The sequence below is a fragment of the Homo sapiens genome, chromosome 8 (assembly GCF_000001405.40).
Source record: "Homo sapiens chromosome 8, GRCh38.p14 Primary Assembly".
In the NCBI taxonomy this organism is placed as follows: domain Eukaryota; kingdom Metazoa; phylum Chordata; class Mammalia; order Primates; family Hominidae; genus Homo; species Homo sapiens.
Genome location: NC_000008.11, coordinates 68761430 through 68782860, shown reverse-complemented (window position 1 = coordinate 68782860; position 21431 = coordinate 68761430). Strand labels below are relative to the sequence as shown.

Genomic DNA, 21431 nt, shown 5'->3' with positions numbered 1-21431 from the left:
GGTCTTCAATTCCTGGGATTAAGCCATCCTCTGCCTCTGCCTCCTAAAGTGATGGGATTACAGGCGTGAGCCACCACGCCCAGCCTCAAAAGTGATTTTCATTTTAAAAATAAAAGCACAAGATTTTTAGCACAAGCAGCTCTTGAAAATGGCCTTTTAATTGGATTAAAACTTAAACTCCTATCATAGGAGAGATGGGCTCCACAGCAGAAACTCACTGCCCCAGGGGTCAGAAGGCACAGCTTTTTATCCTGGTGAATCCAAGGCATGCTAAAGTCTCTTTTGGGATAGAATGGGATAGTTACTGGATTAGATGATCTCTTGTACTCATAAGTAGTATCTATCTAGGTCTAGATTCCTTTAGAGAGTAGAATGTGAGAGGCACTAGATGGCCTATTGCAGGGAAAGTCAGCAAAAAAAAAAAAAAAAGACACTCAATCTTGGAATATACCATTTAGGTATAAACCAGTGTTTATTGTAAGGACTTTAACTTGCTTTTTTTTAAATTTATGAATTATTAAATTTGATCTTGCTGAGCTACACCGAAAAACAGCATAAATGTAAAAAATTGTAGATTTAAAACTCCATAACTATGTAGAAGATAACAGAAGTAAAATTTCAGAGAGGGAAATCACACTGCTGCAGTTTTTAAAAAATGTGACATAGTCTCTGATGTTCAAAGAAGAAATATGAAAAATAGACATTTTGGATACATAAGGGAAAATGAAATTGCGGAAGTGATTCCTTTAAAACAGAAAAATTTAAAGTGATCATGAAAAAGTGTTTTTAATTTAAAAATATTTTGGTTATTTAGCTTTTTGATTGAAATACTAAAATTTGTTTTCATGAAAAAGATATGAGTAGTAAGTCAATTGTGTTATTATTTTCCCACAATAGTTCAGCATATCAAGCAATACTACTGATTGGTTTTTGGTTTTAATGGCTTTATTCCTGAACAGATAAGCAGCATTCAACTATTCTCTAATTAATGCAAATTGCCTAAAGTACAAATGGAACATTAGCTTGGTAAAATATGTAGTTTGGGAAGAACTTTAAAATGTTGAATTATTGTAATCATAAAGATAGTACAAATATTACTGTTAATAGATGATTTAAATGTTTTACTTTGGTTTTCCCTGGAATAGAGCTAGTAATATAACGCACCTGTTCACTTTATCAGTGCCAACAAGCACCACTATGTATGTCTAAAGCTCAACCCATAAGGCTACATATAATTCTTTTTGATGGGGTCAAAGAGCTAAAATCTTGAACATTTTAAAATACAAAAGCTGACGTGTCCCTCTTTGCCAACTTATTCAGATATACATTTTCCACAAGAATATTAAACTGTATCTGAGTGTAGTACAAACTTTTTCATATTCCCAAGAGCAACTTCTTTGTGTTACTTTTAGAAGAAATCCTATTCATTCTTTTTCTAAAACACTTTCACCATAATTACAGCAAATGTACAGGGACTAGGAGTGGTGGGAAATAGTGATATTTATCACATGGAACATGGTTGCTAGCTCTGAATCAATATATTATTCTATCTGCTAACAGAATAAGTGCTTTACAAACTTCAGCAGCATTGTTGATCCACATGAAGAGCTTATTTTTAGATTCTCTAAATGCAACCAATCAGTGATTTATCATATGTGGCCCTGAAAGTTCAGTGTATTTCAAGAAAAAAAAATTACTTCTTTGCTCAAACTTCTACCATTGGCTGTTTTAATTCTGAATCAACTAAGTATTTCTTTTCATTTGGTATTAATATGTCACTAACGCACAAAACATCAGTTTCTATCTTTCAAAATGGTTTAATCACTTTAATTTTACTTCCATAACCATGGAATCCCTGTAAAATAAGATTCCCTGAAGCATATTATAAAACAAACAAAGTCACACTCCACTCTGGATACATGTAATGGACTGCTTCCACTGACAAAGAATTAATCCTTCCGTTAAAAATCACTTCCGTTAAAATGAAATTCCCTTTATGTACACAGCTAAATTTGTAAAGTTTGTAAATAACTTTCTTGTTGCATTTGTTAATGAAATGGTTCATACTATCCATGTGGGGTGTGTATGTGTGTGTATGTGTGTGTGTTTAGCGATGGGGTTTCACCATGTTGCCCAGTCTGGTCTCTAACTCCTGGACTGCAATCTGCCCACCTCGGCCTCCCAAAGTGCTGGGATTACAGGCATGAGCTGGGCCAAAATCCACAATTTTTAAGTGAATTATACTTATGAAGCCCATTTATTTTGGGAATTGTAAAAGTTACTTAAGATTAAGAGCTATTAGTATAAATTAATAGAATCTGGGAAAATGAAAGAGAGAGAGTAATAACAAAGTCAGAAAAGTACAGTAGGTTGTGAAAAACATTACAAAGTAAATGCAAAATATTTAAATAAATGTACATGACTATTTTGCCATCCTACACTATACTTTGGGATTGTACTTCATCTTCTTTTCCAACTCATTCCACTTGGTGGCTTTTCTTTCCAAGGAAATTGTAGTATGAATTTGTAAAAGACTTAGGAAAAAAAACAAAAGATGATTGGGTGTATCAATGAAAAACAAGTCATTTTTCGAGCATGCCTGATTTTACAGAAGCTCTGGGACTTCATTGACTTCAGCTATTTTACAATTATGGAATTTGTAGAAAGTGGTAGCAGTGCAAATGCCTCTTGTCCATATAAGTGTAAATTGTGTCCATTAGAATGCGATAGAGTGTTATCCTATGGATAGTGATTAAATTTGCCAATTTTTCCATCGATTTATAATGTCATTTCAGCATTCCTTTATGACTATGTAAGTGAGGGTTTAATTCTTTGAAATCATTGGAATGCTTTATTTGTTCCCTCATTAATTTATCAGTTAAATAAATCTTTCACATGTGTTCATTTTACATCTGTCTGAGTGCCATGATTACAACTTTTTTAAAAATTATGATTTAGCATGTTTCTGTTCTTAATGAATGTTAATGATAAAATAGGATTTTCTTGAAAAAAGATCTTCATTTCCTAGTTTTCTAAGTGAAATAAAACTATGATAATTAATAATTATTTAAATTTTTAGAAAGTAAACCTTCGTGAATGATAAAACGTAAACTTTCTCTTATTGATTATAGGGAATAATGTCATACACTCTCCATCAGAAGTAGAATTGAAACTTCTTTACACCACAGAGAGCAGAATACTACACAGGAGAAACAAGACAAGCTGGCCAAAACTGGCATCCAAAGTGATTCCAGGATATTGTGTTGCATAGAATTGATCCCCTTTCTGGTTCAGATGGCACATCTGGCAAAGCCAACCTCAACAGATTTGAAAAGACCTGTCTCGTGCTTTTAATTCTGTTTGACACCCTAAGAGATTGTGAAGCTGCCACACTGCCAGTAAGTTCGCACTCCCATGTATGTTGCCTCTGGCCCTCACCAACTAACTTCCTAAGGGTGTTAGGAATCTCAAATGAAATCACTGACTTCAGTCTAGTTCTTTACGGCTTCTCAATCATTTGAATTGACAATACTTACCTGATGCATATATACTTAAATTACTACATTTCACTAATGATAAAGGGATTTTTAACCAGTATACTACGCTGCTTCCCAGTTATTCGTCTGGGTAGTGTGTGTGTGTGTGTGTGTGTGTGTGTGTGTGTGTGTGTGTGTGTGTGTTTCAGAGACAGGATCTTATACTGTCACGCAGGCTGGAGTGCAGTGGCGAGATCACAGCTCAATGCAGACTCAAACTCCTGGGCTCAAGCAATCCTCCTGCCTCAGCTTCCTGAAGAGCTGAGACTATAGGTGTGTGCCACTATGCCTGCCTAATTTTTTGATTTTTTGTAGAGACAGGGTCTCACTATGTTGCCCAGGCTGGTTTTGAATTTCTGGCCTCTAGCAATCCTCCTGCCTCAGCCTCCCAAAGTTCTAGGATTACAGGCATGAGCCACAAGCTTGAGCCTGGTAATGTGATATTGTAAATGGATTAAATTTGCTACAAAAATTATGATAATCCAGATTTGGAACTGATTGAATTTGATAAGTTATTTTAAATTATACTCTTTCTAAATGAACGTTAATATAATCCAAAAACTAAGATTTCTGTGATGTAAAATTATTCCCACCTTGAGTTATCAAGTATCTTAGATGTAAAAAGCATGTAATATTTTTAAAAATTTAACTATCAGAGCTATTTTGAGGACAAAGAAATGTAGGCAATTATAAAATATTTCATTTTTTATTTGGTCAAAACCACAAATCTTAGTCAAATAATACATTGAAAAATAGAAGATGTTGAATAAAAGCTCCATTTTAGCTTTACTTTTGAGAAGACCATATCATCTCTGTAGTTTTGATTCAGATCTAAACAAAATTGTCTAATTGCATGTGGTTATGATTCTGTCTCATTATAAAACTAGATGAAAAAAAGAGCATTTGATCTGCAAAGAGCTGTTCAAACTTTAGTAAGAAATGTTAAATATATTAAAAATGTAAACACTATGGTTTGAGTTTTATTGTGTACTAAATAAAAGCAAATGTTTGCTAGTTCAGTTTTAGCCTCAATGCTTCTAACATTTATAAATACTATTTTTTATTGTTTACCAATTCTACTAACATGAAGAAAAAAGAAAAAGTGAAATAAAAGCCTAAGTGAGAAAAGACAAAAGACTATCATTTTATGGCTCACATTCTAAACATGTTCTCAATGGAGAAGAGTTTAAGTACATATATATTTTCTAATACATAAATGGATTGTCTGTGAGAAAAGCCAACTAGTCATAAGTTAATAGTTTACTAATTAAGATCTTAGTTTTATTGTAAAGAATGGTCATCTGTTGGCTTAAGAAAGAGCTAAAATCTCACTATAAGTCAATAATAAATGAAAGTACTGAGTAATACTAAACCCCTAAGAAAGGCAGTTCACATGTTTTGCAAAATTCAGACTGAAAGTCAGTAATGGATCTCATAAACTGGAGAGATTTTATATATTTTATTTCAGACAAAAAATTATTATTGAGAGCAGATGAATAAGCAAGATATAAATTTATAAATAAAGGTTTTCTCTTTACCTATTTTATATAAAATTGGAGATTTTTAAACAAAATTGGGATTTTTCATGATGCACACAGTTACTCCCTAGAAAGAACGTTGGAAAAGACACTTTATGGCAGAGCATCTTGGCACTTTTAAGATGCATATAAATCAAATGGAGATCATGTTAGGATGTTGATTTTGATTATGTGGGTCTGGGCTGAGCCCCAAGATTTTGTATTTCTTACAAGCCCCCGATGATGGCAGTGTTGTAGTCAGAGGACCACAGTCTGAGGAACAATAGCCTTTAAGTACTTTAAGTGAAAAGGCATAAATTCTCCACCTTCTTGCCACATTGAGCATTTACACTTGTGTACAACATGTACATTTACATTGCACGTTAGTAATTATGAAGAAAACAAGCCTATTTTTCTTGGATGAGAACTACAAAATTAGAAGACTTATTCTTAAGTTCTATCATCAGCAGGCAGCCCATGTCTTGGCCCAGCACCTCAGTTCTCTCCAGGTGGGAACATGGGGTTAGACCTAGACAGGACATATTACAAGAGGCATCAGCTATCCCTCTTGTGGAGGTGGCCTATCACCCACAGATCCACTGTTAAGTGGGGAATGCTGAACCAAGAGCTTGGGCAACCACAAAATCCTTTTAGGCGGTTCTTAACATCACCAAACTGTTTCCCAGTTCCCTCCACCTGCAGTGGATTTAGACAGCTAATTTAGTGGCCACGGTGGTCTGGCTTCAGGCCAAGTTTTATGGGCTCTGCCCACTGGTTTATCTGAGAGTTCTGCAATAGTTTGCCATCAGTCCAAAGTTCCATGGCACAGAACACCCTTGGATATCTCCAAAAATAATAAATCTAGAAGTCTAAAAAGTTTCCAAGTGAAATCTACTATATATTTAATTGTTGGGATAGCCCTTTGCATAATGGCATGTATGAATATCATCCCTGATGACCATTTGTCCCATGAATGAATCCAGACCTAGTATAGATTGTTCTTTCAGTAGGAAGAGCGGTTGTGTCTTTTTTTGTGCACACTCCAATGTAAACCATGTTATTCTCATTTATTTGAATATCAACAAATATTTGTGTATAAAAATATATATTAGTACCAGGTTTACGCAGTTTTACTTTCATGTTCAGGATCACTGAACTGATACACAGTATCTTTCTCCCAATGAGGACCAAAACCTGTCTTGCTAACCTATTATTTATTATCCTGTTTTTGTGGACATGACCATTGAACACATACAGACTAGAAACCCTACAAGTAGATGGAGAAAGCCTAAGTGAGTGCTTCATCCTGTATCATAAACTGATTTCAGACTACATTATAAAGCAACCTTAAAACTCACTTCTTCCATGTAGTTTTTCAGTGAGTGTCCTACTCCACTGGAGGCTTCTCCCTAGAAGTAAAGAGGAAGAGAGGTTGAAAAGGTCAGGAGAAGGAGAGAAAAAGAATGAAAGAATCGTGGAGAGTGGGATCTGAGAGCAACACCAAATATTTGCTATTCTCCCACCTTTTCAGTTGATACTTGTGGGATTGTTAGTTTGCCAACTTCTTACTCTTTGAAAAAAAAGAAAAGAGTTTTTGCAAAACAACAATATAGCTTTCAAGTGGATTTTTAAAATATATTTTATTTTATTTTAAGTTCTGGAATACATGTGCAGGACGTGCAGGTTTGTTACATAGGTAAACATGTGCCATGGTGGTTTGCTGCACCCATCAACCCATCACCTAGGTATTAAGCTCTGCATGCATTAGCTATTTATCCTGATGCTTACCCTCCCTCCACCACCACAGCAGGTCCCAGGGTGTGTTATTCCCCTCCCTGTGTCCATGTGTTCTCATTGTTCAGCTCCCACTTATGAGTGAGAACATGCTGTGTTTGGTTTTCTGTTCCTGTGTTAGTTTGCTGAGGATAATGGCTTCCAGCTCCATCCATGTCCCTGCAAAGGACATGATCTCGTATAGATCTTAATTCATGTTAACAAATGAGCAGCTAGAGTAACTAACTAAATCTTGGAACAGAATGCTAAACAAATTGTGTAACATTTTCTGTTGTTAATGTTATAAATATAGTCTCATAATTAGGCTAAGGAAAGAAGTCGCAAATTCTATATTCTATAAATTTGTGTGACGATCTAAAACATGGACTTAAAAATATTTTTTACATAGAGGACAGACAATTAACCTTTATATCCAGACTTTACATTAAGTCTTTCTTAACCTATTAGTATGTAATTAGTAAATTCTCCGTCATCTGTGTCTTTACTAGCACTTCACTGAGCACTAGTAATCACAGATTCAAATTGTTGAAATTTATAAAATCAAATTAAACATATATCCCAAACTCATCTAAACATTGGTGGTCAAAATTGTCAAACAACTTGGTGCTTTGGATAAGTTATGCTTTTATACTCCATGACGAGAGACATTTGGAAATAAATTCTGAAATATCATGAAATTATAAATCCTAGGACACCATATGTGTTTAAAACATAATTAAATAAGTGTGCTAAAAGCTTACATTTGTTTCTACAGAATCTTTTTAACTTTCCCATGACCAACACATATATTATCTCATTGAGGGCAAGACAACCTCACGCCAATTTAATACTTGGGGAAACTGAGGCCAAGAGGGGTAGAGTGAAGTGCCCTAAGTCAAGGAGCAAGGAGAAGCATCGCTTGGACTGGATTCTAGTCTGATACTCTTCTTTTTTTTTTTTTTTTCCTGGGCTTACTGCAACTTCCGCCTCCCAGGTTCAAGTGATTCTCCTGCCTCAGCCTCCCCGAGTAGTTGGGACTACAGACATGTGCCACCCCGCCCAGCTAATTTTTTTTTTTTTTTTTTTTTTTAGTGGAGACAGGGTTTCATCATGTTGGAAAGGGTGGTCTCGAACTCCTGACTTCAGGTAATCTGCCTGCCTTAGCCTCCCAAAGTGCCGGAATTACGGGCGTGAGCCACCACACCCGGCCCAGGGTGACACTCTTCTATGTCACTGAGATACAACAATTTAAAACATACAAAATTAAATTCATTTTAGTTTTTTTTAAAAAAAATTGTGATGTATTCTTGCAAGTACTTGGGGAAAACATGAGGCATGCTCATGTCAAAACAAAAATTGAGCTAGAAATAGAATGCTGGTATTCCCCAAAACTTAGAAATCACAGGTTAAATCACAAAGGTGGTAATATTTCTTCCTAAATCATATTTCCACTGGCAAAACATTAATATGCCGTAGTTTAAATGTTTCCAAATGCTTCCAAACTTGTAGGATTTTCAATGGATAAGATAGTGAAAGAGATAAGGTAGTTCTATTTGCTTAAAGCATAAACTACTGGGAAAAATTAAGTTCATATAAATCCCTCAAGCTGTGAGGAATTTAACTCAAAGCACACAGAGAAAGCTGAGAACTTATTTCAGATAAACTGTTTATTTTTTTGTTTATTTTATATATATATATATATACACACACACCCATATTTTTATACATAGATAAACTGTTTCTTAGAGGTGAACTTCCCACACTATCTTACCCTCATTCGGACACTAACCTGGGAGTGCTATGGGCTGTTCCAATTTGGCTCTTTCATGACAGAACCAGTCAGTCCTTTATGTGCTAATCATCCTTTCTCCTTTGCCTGGGTGGTTAGGAGTAAGAGAACAATGTGGCAAATTGCTCAGAGTTACAAATGTGCTTTCTGGAGCAGCCAGCATGGGAGGCTTGCCTGGTTGGCCTCTGCACATTTGAGGGTTAACAGTGAGAGATGCTGGAGAGCAGTTTCTGGGCGCTCACTGAAGAGGGCGATGTGTTTCCTTGGAGCTGGAGTGTGTGGTTTTTCCCGTTTGTCTGGACATTTGCAGTCTTCTGCTAAGACCTGGTGATGACCGTGGGTTTTCTTAATGATCGAATATAAATAAAGCAAGCTTCTTGACAGCCTTGCTTCTTTCCTTAGTGTCAGTGTCATATCTACACCACAGGAAAGGAGAAACCTACACAATACCATTTGTTTCAAGGGCCATACAACGGGAGTTTGGTTGTAACTGCCATTTGTAAGTCACTGCAATGGGTGACACCAGTGAATGAGGAGCATAAAGCAAAAGACTCTCGGAGGGGCCGGTGTGGCGGCTCACACCTGTAATCCCAGCACTTTGGGATGCCGAGGCAGGTGGATTACTTGAGGTCAGCCTGGCCAACATGGTGAAACCTCGTCTTTACCAAAAAATACAACAATTAGCCAGGCTTGGTGGTGTACCTGTAATCCTAGCTACTCGGGAGGCTGAGGCAGGAGAATCACTTGAACCTGGGAGGCAGAGGTTGCAGTGAGCCGAGATCATGCCACTGCACTCCAACCTGGGCGACGGAGCAAGACTCCGTCCCAGAAGAAAAAGTAAAATAAAAATAAAAATAAAAAGATTCTTGGAGGAAAATACAGAGGAAACTAACATTTTGAAGAATGCAAGTGTGGTACAAGGCCAAGTGGACACAACGAAGAATAAGGCATCAGTATCTCTGATTCTGATGGGTCAGAAAAGATGGCCCAAGTCAAGAGGCTTGATCCAATACATCTATCTCGGGTTCCCCATTTCCAACACCAGACCAGTGAAATGCCAGCATTCCCTCCTCCCTCTCACTGGGATCGCTAATGAAATAAAATCCCCTTCAAAGCACAAACCTATGAGTTTCAGATGTCCTTTTCTTAATTTTAAAGAATTGGCATTTTAAATATCAAGTCATTCTAGCAACATAGTATTTTGGTAATTACCTGGGAATGAATAAAAAATGCCATAATGCAATTTCCCTTGAAAAACAAAGAGGGGGAGAGGATACAAGGAGAGGCAGACAGGAGCATGTGAAGGAGGAAAAGGAAAGAAAACATGGAAATTATGTCTTAGAAAAAAAAGAAAGAAGGAAGGAAGGAAGGAAGGAAAGAAGGAAGGAAGGAGAGAAAGAGAGAAAGAAAGAAAAGAAAGACAGACAGAAAGAAAGAAAGAAAGGAGGGAGGGAGGGAAAGAAAGAAAGAAGGAAGGAAGGAAAGAAGGAAGGAGAGAAAGAGAGAAAGAAAGAAAGAAAAAGAAAGAAAGAAAGAAAGAGAGGGAGGGAGGGAGGGAGGGAAAGAAAGAAAGAAGGAAGAAAGAAAGAAAAGGCCTTTCTGAAATGTGGTTTCACTTATTGTGAGTTTTTAATATAACCGCAGTTGAGATAAGTGTTTAAATGTAAATTAGAAAATTTAATATATTATAAACTCAGGGAAAGGGGCACAAAGAGGCTGATGTGATTACTGCTTAACGTATGGCATGGGACTATGCCTGTCAGAGATGAAGGCTCTTGTCGGTCCCCTGGTTATTTTATAGTTAAGGAAACATTCTCAGTGAGATGGAAAATCGTAGAGAGTGAGGTAGGACTAGAACCACACTGTCCTCAATCCATTGCCATTTTTATTATGCCATGCTTCTCTTGTTTCAATCAATAAGTATTTTCTATTCATCTTTCATTAATCCTTAGACAAAATGCAAACAGACTGGCACTTGTGTGTAGGGTACATTTATTCACAAACAGTATCTGTCTAAGACCTCTGATGTTAATTTTCTTTTAAAAAATTCCATGAGAAACCTACTTCTACCAGAATAATTTTTCTTCTCATCTTTTTCAAAGGAAACTAAACAATAATTCTAACCTACAGAGCATTCTCTTAAGAACTACCTGAGGTATTTGGAACCCATGGAAGAATGGGAGCTCGATATGAATGGCCAGGGCATTTCTAACCCAAGGGGCCCATAAAACTTCACCCATCATTTTTTCCATAGGTATTTATTAAGCACTTCTCATGTGCCATATACTGTGTTAGGTGTTGGGACAAAGAGCTGAACAAGAGTTAATTACTACTATAAAAAAGTTTACCTTGAAAAAACATATACAAGTGATTAGAATACAAAGCAAAAGTTATTTGCCACACGTAAGATCAAGATGCTATGGGAAAAAGTCAGAGGAAAGGCATCTAGTCTTTCATTTTTTTTTAAACAAACATGTATTGAGCACTCCCATGTGCTGGGAACTGTTGTAGCCTCTGCATACATGTGATGAAGGAGACGAAGTGGAAAGAATAGTGCTTGAGCAAAAAAATTAAAAAAACAATTTTTTTGTTTAGTCCTGAAATCTTAGTCATTAGTCCGGATAAAGGAGCTGCTTAAGGAGGAAGACTCATATTAGGAAGAAGGAAAATTTGGGGTAAGGGCCCAGACACAACAGAGGAAATATGTGAAACCACAAGCATTGCAATGAAGAGCACCAATTATACCACGCACTGAAATGTGTGCTGTATCTTCAGATACAGAGATATCAACATCATATATCACTTCCTAATTTCATACTATAATTTCCTGTAATGCAGCTGCTAATATGATGGCTACATGTTGTGTTTTCTCACTGCATTATTACACAGAGTTACCACATTTATGATAGTTGATGAAGAGATCGAAATTCAGCTTTCTGAACTCGACAACCTCTATAGGCAGCAACTACTATTCATGTCCAAAAGAACAGGCAGTGATTTATCCCCAATTAATGAAAAACTAGGTACAGTGGTTTAGAAACTCAAAAATTTTTAGAAAGCTCAAGTCTTTGAAATTATTGATGTATCCAATAAATTGTTATGTTTGTTTTCAGACCTACATATATGCCAGATGCTATTTCTGTTTAGTTACCTCCAATGCTTTTTCATATTGTTTACAGTATTTTTGAAAATTTGCCCACAATCTTCCAAATAAATACAGCATCAATGCAGACCACATTTCTCTGGAAATGACCCCTTTTACTGGTAGAGAAAATACTTGATAAATTTAGCATTGCTAAGGACAAAAACACAGTGGCATTTTAAGATAAAATGTTATGATTCACTCTGCAGTATCATTTTTTCCAAGATTTTTATGTTAAGATAAACAGTTCCTTTAGAGGTTAATGCCTTTGCCTTAAAAGGATGAAAATGAGAAGGAGCAATTATGTGACTAATGACTAAAATTTAACACTAAGAATGTTAAATTTTAAATGACTTAAAACATTTTAGTGTTCTTTCCTATTTTCTGAAAAGTGACTATTAGCTGAAAAAAAATAAAGCCGTTTTTATTTTTCTCTTTCCTTCACTGCCATGTGAAAAAGTGAGAGGGCAAAGCCAGGAAAAAGGGGCTCCATATTTGGAAGAGTGGTGACTTTTATCAGTGGATGTTGGACAAGAAAAGGGACAGAAGGAGAGAATGTAACTGTAAGAATGAATGGCTAGTATTAATTGTTTGTAATTGCATGGACTTAGAAATAGACTAAAGCATACATTATTGGTCAATTGACTCTAGAAAGATCCATTTACCATTGAACTAGTCATTGTGCCAACATGTATGTTCCCTAATATTTGTTGATTATGTCAATAAATAATATTATTTCACTATTACGTACAAAAAATAGTATTCATTCATTCTTTCTAAAATGCTTTAATGTGTTAACACAGCAAATTATTAGGCATGGTATCTTAGAGAGTTACAACTTTTCTTCTGAAGCTGAGTTTCTTTAGCTATGAGGTATTGACAATAGAACCAGAGGGTTGTGTTTTATATGACATAATGAATTAAAAAGAGTATTAAAAACTTGAAAGATTTTGGCAACTGGAAAGTATGGTATTATTATTTGGTAAATATGTGTATCTCTATTGACCTACTCATCACTGGTTTTTCTGTCTCCTGCCTTGGCAAACTATGTATAGCTCTGCAAACTTGCCAGATTTCTCTCTTGTCCCCCATCTACTTGGGAACTTCTTCCTTGTACTTCTACCTTGTCTTTCAAGTCAGAAAGCCATCCCCGGCTCCCCTCACTCAAATCTTCATGTGCTCCCTTGAGACTACGCCTATCCTTACCAAAGCACGTATCGCGCTCACTGGTTACTTTCTACATCTTTTCTACTTAACTGTGAGTTGTTAGAGGGCAAAAATTGTTTTTAATTAATATTTGTTTTCCAAATCCTGGAACAGGGTCTGGCAATATAGATAAAAAGTAAACGTCTGAAAAATAAATAAATGAAGGAAAACAAATTCTAGATCTTAGCTGACTCTGGATGTACACAGAATCTATACAAATCATAAAGTTTGTAAATAGTAGGAAAAAAGAGCTAAGTCACTTTTAAAACTGGTGAATAGATATTGTTGCTGAATGTGCAATAAACTCACTGAATTAACTGCTGATTACTTCGAGTTTGTAAGTAATTATTGATTATAACTTTCACCTTGAGCTGAGAAAAATACACATGAATAAGTATATTTTTATTATTTTTTGGAAATTTAGTGCTATGAATGAGTATTACCTTTGTAATACTAAAATATGAAAAGATTCAAAATGGCCTTTTAAAAAAAATAATAAAATATAGACTAAAAGCAAAAACCATAAGGAGAAACAAACAAAAATAATGCCTTAAAATCACTAGAAAGTGAAAAAGAGGGAAAGTTTAAAAATAAAAAAAAATTAAGAGATTTTTCTTTAGAAAAAATCTTAGGAAAGTGACAAACATTGAAGATTGGCAGAGGAGATCAAATATAAGGATAATAGCAGATCTTAAGGAAGAAAACAAAAAGCAAGGGAAAAGAATTATGCAAAAAGTTCTAATTCAAGAAAACTTTCCTGAAATTAAAAAAAAAGAAATTACACATTGCACTGCATGCCTGACAATAATGAATCAAAATGACTACCACATGATATATTCTAGCAAATTGATTGTATTTTTTAAATAAGAAAAATGTCTTTTAAGGATCTAGACAAAAAAGACCACACGATTTTTAAAGAGAAAATATTTATATTACCATCAGACTTTTATAGCAGTGCTTTATGCTAAAAGAAGAATGAAGTAATATACTTAAGATACTAAAAAAAAAAAGTGTGAACCCAGTGATCTAGTAGAGAAAACTCTAGAAAGCCAAAATGCCTAGGTATGGGAACTGGTGGTATTAACATGCAGTTGCCGGCACAAAGACCACGTGGCAGCTGAAGAGAATGTAGTATGCAGAGGCTATATCCTATGACATTGTGGATTTCATATGACTCTTACAAATTGCAAGAGAATGGTGAAAGCATGTGCAAATAATTTGTTTTCAGTATCCCTATTGTTAGATGTATCAGTATTTTTGTTCTGAGACTACCATGCATGTAATATGGAATAAAACAAATGAGTTATTATGAGATATTCTAATTCTAGAGTCACTTTTCATTGAGAACCAGAATTGTTGGTATGGAAAAAAGAGGAGATAAAGATACAAGAAACGAGGTTAAATGAAAGTCTTAGTATTTTCTAATTTGAATTAAAAGTGTTGATGAGAACTAACTGTCCACTGAAAAGAGATAGAAATAATGACAAACTCAGGGGCAATGAGCAGCCCTGGGGACCAGACTTGTCTTGAAATATCACTTCTCACTAAAATAAGCCAAGACTTTTAAAAAAATCAGCTATTTTCAAAACACGGCTGATTCCATGTGTAGGGCAGGAAATATACAATGTAAGCTTGGCACATCCTGTACCACCCAATAGCAAGGAAGCTATCAGAGACTACCAGGGGCATTGCAAAATGACTCATAAACAAACTTGAAGGAGCTCTCATGAGCCAAAGATGGGACAATTTGAGCTTAGCAATGATCATAATTGTCATGTGTTGCTATGTATCAAATACGTTTAACAAAAGTAAGGGTTATCTTCAGGAGCTATTAGAGAAATGATTCATTGTCTTGAACACTCATAAATAAAAAGGACAAATCAAGCAAGTACCCTACTTTCCTATCAGAACTGTATTACTGGCTCACCAAATAGTAAGTGAGGGAAAGGATTTCTTAACAAAAGTATTCCACCTAATAAATAAAAAATAAATGATAGGATAGAATATCATCAAATAAATAGATATCAGTATTTAGTATCACTGGCTGCTAAGATGATAAAATGAGAAACAATCAGATATTAAATAGCCACGCCAGCTAGGTGTGGTGGCACATACCTGTAGTCCCAGCTACTTGGGAGACTGAGGTGGGAGAATTGCTTGAGCCCAGGAGTTAGGGTTCAAAGTTACAGTGAGTTATGATTGTGCCCTTGCACTCCAGCCTGAATAACAGTGAGATCCCATTTCTATGAATGAATGCATGCATGAATGAATGAATGAATGGTCATACCAAAGAGGAGCTTTATCTTATTTCTGGATAATTTTCAGAAAAATATAGAGAACTGAAGGAGCATGTTGAATTGCACCAAGAATATGATGTTAGTAAAAGCCAGACTGTGGAAAATATTACAGGTCAAATGTCCTGCATTCTTTAACAGATAAACTGAAAGCAAATGCAAGGGATGGAGGAGGCACCTATAGACTGAAAAACTTAAAGGATGTGCCAGATTTTTTAAAGTTGGCAAGGTTAACTTTGGGGGACAATGAATGCATATTTAGGTGATAAAACTATTTTTTAAATGCAAGTAGTTTATTTCTGTAAAAGAATAGTTTTTATTTGCAGTGGGAAGTAGAGGTTGTGACTGGAATACTGATGGGTTTTCTTAGTTGTCTGGCAAAGTGCTATTTATTTATTTATTTATTTGGAGACAGAGTCTTGCTCTGTTGCCTAGGCTGGAGTGCAGTGGCGTGAGATCTCATCTCACTGCAACCTCCGCTTCCCAGGTTCAATTGATTCTCCTGCCTTAGCCTCCCGAGTAGCTGGGATTACAGGCACATGCCATCAATGCCATCACACCTGGCTAATTTTTGGTATTTTTAGTAGAGACAGGGTTTCTCCATGTTGACCAGGCTGGTCTCGAACTCCCGACCTCAGGTCATCCGCACACCTCAGCCTCCCAAAGTGCCAGGATTACAGACATGAGCCACTGTGCCCAGCCTCAAAATACCATTTCTTGGCATCAGTGGTGTTCTCATTATATTAAGTAATTAACCCATACATTTTATTTGAGTGATTTTCACTATTTGTGTTTAATCTTGCAATAAAAGATATTTAAATATAAACAGACAACTATTTCTAATATTAAACTACAGTTTTACCAGCATAATTGTAAAGTCCAAGTGAAATTTTAAAAAATTAGAGTGAAATTTTACAAATCTCCATTTGTTGTTGGCTATATCTCCAAGATATGTGCCTATTCCCTTTGATCCAAAGCTTTCGGTCTAGATAAAGTGGTATTCCTTATTGGTTACATATCAGCAGAAGTAGTTAAATGACATTCTTATTGTTTTGATTTAATCTTAAACTAATCTAATTATAACACTGACCTCATAAAAATCAGTTAGCAATTTTGATTTTTACTTTTTGAAATAAGCCTTTAAATTCTCCTCCATTAAGCTCTTTAAAAAAATCAATAGATTTCACTTTGGAATTTGTAAAGTACCTGTATAAATTCTCTAAGGTCCGTGAAATATGAATATGAGTCACATAATTTAAACCAAACATGTAATGTATTCTTTTAAAATTAAATCAACCTGTGTCTTTGCAAAATGACTAAACGGCTAAGGTGACCAACCTCCTGAACTGTGACTCAGATAGGAGCATGGAAAAAAAACTGATACCCAATGCCCATGCAATACCAAGGACTTTACGTCTCTCATGTTTTTGGCTCATATTTCCTTAACTTAAAAAAGTGATTGATTTTTCAGATAAGCGGTATTACTAGGAATTTCTCTATATTTAGGGAAACATTTCTCTAACTGATGCATGGACACAAGTAATTACGTGTTTGTTTCTTTTAAGATGTGTCTCTAATTTTTTTTTCATTCAACAACCAAAAAACCAGTTTCACATTTCAGAAACCTTTGCATTATTTAATACACATTAAAAGGTTATAGAACAATGTAAACTTCGTGAGAAAAATTATTTTTCACTGACTTGTAAACAAATTCAGGTCATATAATAGAGAAGTGCATTTAAATTCAAAATTATATTTTTAATCCTTAACATATTTAATTGAAGGGGCCTAAATTTCTATTTTTTAATTAATTACACAAGTGATTTAGAGAAAATGCTATCTGCAGAATTAAGGTTCCAACCAAATTAGCAAAATGCATGAATGAGCATCATCTAGTCTGTCATAAACTTGGCAGCTGATACCATTAACAGCGTCACTAGTAAAGTTGTGTCTTGCTGGTAGTAAATGTGTAGAAGCATAACCAATCGTCTAAGAAAAAGAAGTGACCTCCAAATATATAAGAGAGTGACTTGGAATCAGAAAATAGTGGGGGTTTTAATTTATTCAAATTATTATGATTACTAACTCTGGAGTTTTACCTACAGTCTCTAGGACACTTTGAAAGGTGATTTCCATTGGTGGGTCCAAACTCACCACCTGTGTTTATGTACATTATTTCTTTTGCTTAATGGGTGCTGGTCATTAGACTAAGACTTGGCCTAGACTCTACGTACTGTCAGAAGGTGCAAAGGTGTTACCTAGAAAAGTAAGAGGACAGGCTTTGGAGTCAAACAAAGGTGTTTAAACTCCAGTTTTGCCACTTATGCTTACGCACATTGGGCAAATTTACATAACTTCCCTGATTTCCATTTTCTCATCTGTAAATGGCGATAACACCACTTTCCTCAGGGGTTATTCTGAGAATGAAATGAAATACTGTCTATAAAGCAATGAGGACAAGGACAAATCCCTGGCTGTCATTATTATAAATCACTGTGATAAACGTTAGTACTAGTGTTTAGTTTATAATGAAAGGCAGGAAAAAACAACCTAATATTGTGAAAGGTACAAAAATGAGGGATATGCTTAAGACTTTAATAATATAGGTAGGAAGGAAATCAGATGCTACTTCTTCGTTTATCTCTTATTTTTGTGTTACTTTCATTAGAAGAATCTTGTACTTTCAGTGATAGGAAATTATCAAATGGCTTCATATACAAATAAGTTTTCAGGAGTAAATTCATGGATGAATGGAAGATTGATTAATAAAGGAACACTTTGCGAAATTGTTGAGACAAGGGAGTAAGACGGCATCCTTAGCAAGTCCTTGTTCCCGACTATCTATTCATCTCCATCTCAGGAAGCTCCCGGTGCTCTAGTCATACTGAATAAACCTGAGGCCCCCAAAGGCAGTGTCTCTTCTGTCTCTTTGTCTCCTTCCCCTCAACCTTTGGCATTCCTTTCCTCTTCCAGACATTCCTTTCCACATTCCATGCCCTTTTCCTGATGTCACATGGCAAGATTTTACACTTGGCAGGTCTCAGCTCCAATGCTACTTGTTCGAGGAAGACTCCCCCAGCCCACATATTTGTGTGGTCTTCACCCCACTCTGCTATGTGCTGTCTTGACTCCCCACTATTAGAAAACCTGCCCACTGACTGCACTGGTAGAAGTGCTCTCTCCTACATTGTTGACTCCACAGACCCAACCTTAATATTTGCAAGGCCTGGGCCAAGAGGTCAAACAGAGGTCTGCACCGCCAACAAACTATCACATAAACTGTATCTTGACTTTCCATCAGACTTAGAAGGCCGGTTTCAAATTTAGAATTCCTGTATTCCTTCAAGTTCTGCACCAGAATTTGGCAGAAAAAAGAAAGCAGCAGGTAGGTGCTAACCTCTAACTCTATCTCCCTGTCCCCTCTCCTCACACCCTGCACTGTACCACAAGGGGCTCTATGAGGACATTATGTGGATATCTGTACCTGTATGTCCAAGCTCGTCCACATATCCCCAAAACAGCTGCCTCTTGCCCACTCCTCAGACCTAGAGTTAGCTGTAGGGAATGATGGACTGAGGAAAGAGGCCAATGCAGGTCCAGAGAGCAGGCTTGGGATCTCTAGTGAAAGGGATTCTAGGATTCTAGTGCCTAGCACATATTCAGGCTCCAGAGAGATACATCTTGGTCCCATGGACTCCTCATCCATGGGGAGGGATACAGCCTTGGGCTAGTCTAAGGCAACCAGTGAAGCTCTTTTATGGTGGACATATCTATCTCTTTACCATTAATAGCACTTAGTGCAGGGCTTGGTACCTGAATCTCTCCAAAACAGTTCTTGAATGAATGAGGATTATTACAAGAAGCACAAATTTCTAATTTAATATACAAAAGATAGAAGATGTCATCAGAAGACATAAAGACAAAGACTTTTTGTAACAATGTTGAATATTTCAAAATGACGGGATCGGGGATATTCTAGTAGCAAGAGATGGGGGAAAAGTCATATTTTAGATCTATATAGGATCAACAGGAAATTGAGTATGAATATGAAGTAGAGAAAGACATTTTCAAAATTGACTACATTTGTTTTGAGTTGGAGAGTAACCCAAAAACACAGGTGAACAAAAATAAACTGAAGGTAGAATAGAAGAAGAAGAAAAAGGGAGTAAGATCCAGTTGAATTGCCTACCACAAAGACACTGTCAGACCCATCAGAGTAAATGGTCTTTTTGAGAAGAAATAAAAGTCAAAAGCTCTCTCCAGGGAAGGCAGCATCATTATCAAGGAAAATGGATAAAACTTAGAAAGGAAACAAAGTTAGGGAAGGATGTGAAATTACCTGCTTGCAGAAGATATCACTGCAATCACATTCCACTAACGAAAGATTATACCATTGTCTAAACCCCTTCAGCCTAGTCTTAAATTTTTGTTTACAAATTCATTCATTGGGAGTTTAGTCCAAGACTATTGTAGCATGAACTGAAAAAAAATAAGTCCATCTTACTCCAAGGAGAATTTATCCAGTAGGAATCTGTTTCACTGATGCCTAGGACAGACTTTATAGACCAATCAGTTAGGGCAAAACCACAAAGTGATACCAGACCCAGCAACTTAATGAACCACAATTCCAATGCTTCATTACATCTAAGACAGGGCACAGAGTGTGGGCCCTGCGATGATGTTCCTAGTCTCTTTGATGCAATACAGTCATTCCTTCGTGGTCTAAAACCCTTGCCCCTTTGGGGACTAGAAGAGCCCCAAGATGTTCTATAGGAAGAAATTTCTCTGTTAATTCTTAGTCCAAAAAGTGAATATAATGTGCCTTACAGAACAAAGCTTACTTTGAGACCCTGAGAAGGCCAAACCACATCATAGAGAGTAAGAGGATATCTTCTATTCTTACGAAGGTATGCCCATCTTTAGAACCCAGTTCAAAGCAAACATCTTTTGAGGTCTTACTGAACATGACTGAACACTGAGGTTTATTACAATGTTTTTGCATGTGTTTGCATTTTGTGAAAACAGCTAAAATCAGAAACAGAGGAGCCAAAAAGATTTCCTGCCAAGTCTGGGAATCTAAAAGCCAGAAATTTCAAGAAAACAGAATAATTCTTGTAACATGTATAGTGTAATTTTATGGACTTTCAATGTTAATTGAGATAAACACTTAAAATCTTGGGTACTTTTTGACAATAAACTTCAGAGCCAAACTATTTAGCCCCATCTGAAACCCATACCAATATTGCAGGTTGAAAGTTAAATGTAAATCATCTTATGGTCACTGCCAGTTAGTTAAATATATCAGTTTAATAAAGTCAAGTTATGAAACGGCAACCTCAATATTCTTAAAGATTACAAGTCTCTTGGGAGTTTTCTTTACTCTGGTAGGATACTCTTTGAAGCTCCGAGATGACACAAATCGAGCTAATCAAGGCCCCTTCCATACTTAATGTTACTTTAGAAAATTAAGAGAATCTTTAATCACTGACTTGGCCAAGCACCAGACTTATCACTGGCCACCACATGCAATTATGCAGTGTGCCACAGCCAAGGGGGTGAGTGAGAGCAGTGTTGGCCACTTTTATAAGAGCTCCAACAGTGATGGTGAGATTTAAAAAGTGTACAACAACACATTTTCAAAGTTATCAAGAAGCTGAAACTAGCCCAGTGAAATTAATTGCAAAATACTCTACTATGCTTTTTATTTTTTTTTAAATCACATAGACACGGGATTATAAAAACACAGCCACACTGTAGTGTTAAAGAAAAAAGGAGGCAGGGGAGAATTTTAGCTGACTACAACTTTGGTGTGCACCAGAAATGCAGTGGAAGCTACTAAAAAAGCTATTTCAAAATTAGACATCATTAGTAAAGGTACAGCAGACTTCTCCAGGCTGTTAGTGGGTGAACTGGACTTTGTTGATCAGGTTAGAGCACTGTGGTTCCATTTGGTGTGTTGGTGGCAAATAGAGAGGGGTCTAGAAATAAGGTCACATAAAGAATCGTTGAAGAAGTTATTTATTTTTCATCCGAAGGACAGAAGACCTAAAGAAAGAGTATTGTGTTTAACTGAAGATTTAAAAGATGGAAAGGAAATTAGACGGTTTTTTGTTTGTTTCAGAGAGTCAAATTGGGGCTTATAGATGAAAGTTTCAGGGAGACAATTTTTTTTTC

At 36.1% G+C, this 21431-nt stretch overlaps 1 protein-coding gene across 9 annotated transcripts in view; it reads right to left on the bottom strand.

The window, feature by feature from the left end:
* Positions 1–21431, bottom strand: part of C8orf34 (chromosome 8 open reading frame 34) — a 488651-nt gene that overhangs the window by 36163 nt on the left and 431057 nt on the right. For 6 of the 9 annotated variants that reach the window (NR_146186.1, NR_146187.1, XM_047421328.1 and 3 more), the window contains one exon: positions 6412–6462. The exons of the other annotated variants lie outside the window; for them this stretch is intronic. Coding sequence is in view for 4 of the 6 variants with exons in the window: in XM_047421328.1 (XP_047277284.1) it covers positions 6412–6462 (51 nt within the window). In the remaining 2 variants the exon portion in view is untranslated. The remainder of the gene's footprint in view (positions 1–6411; positions 6463–21431) is intronic. 9 annotated transcript variants of the gene reach the window in all.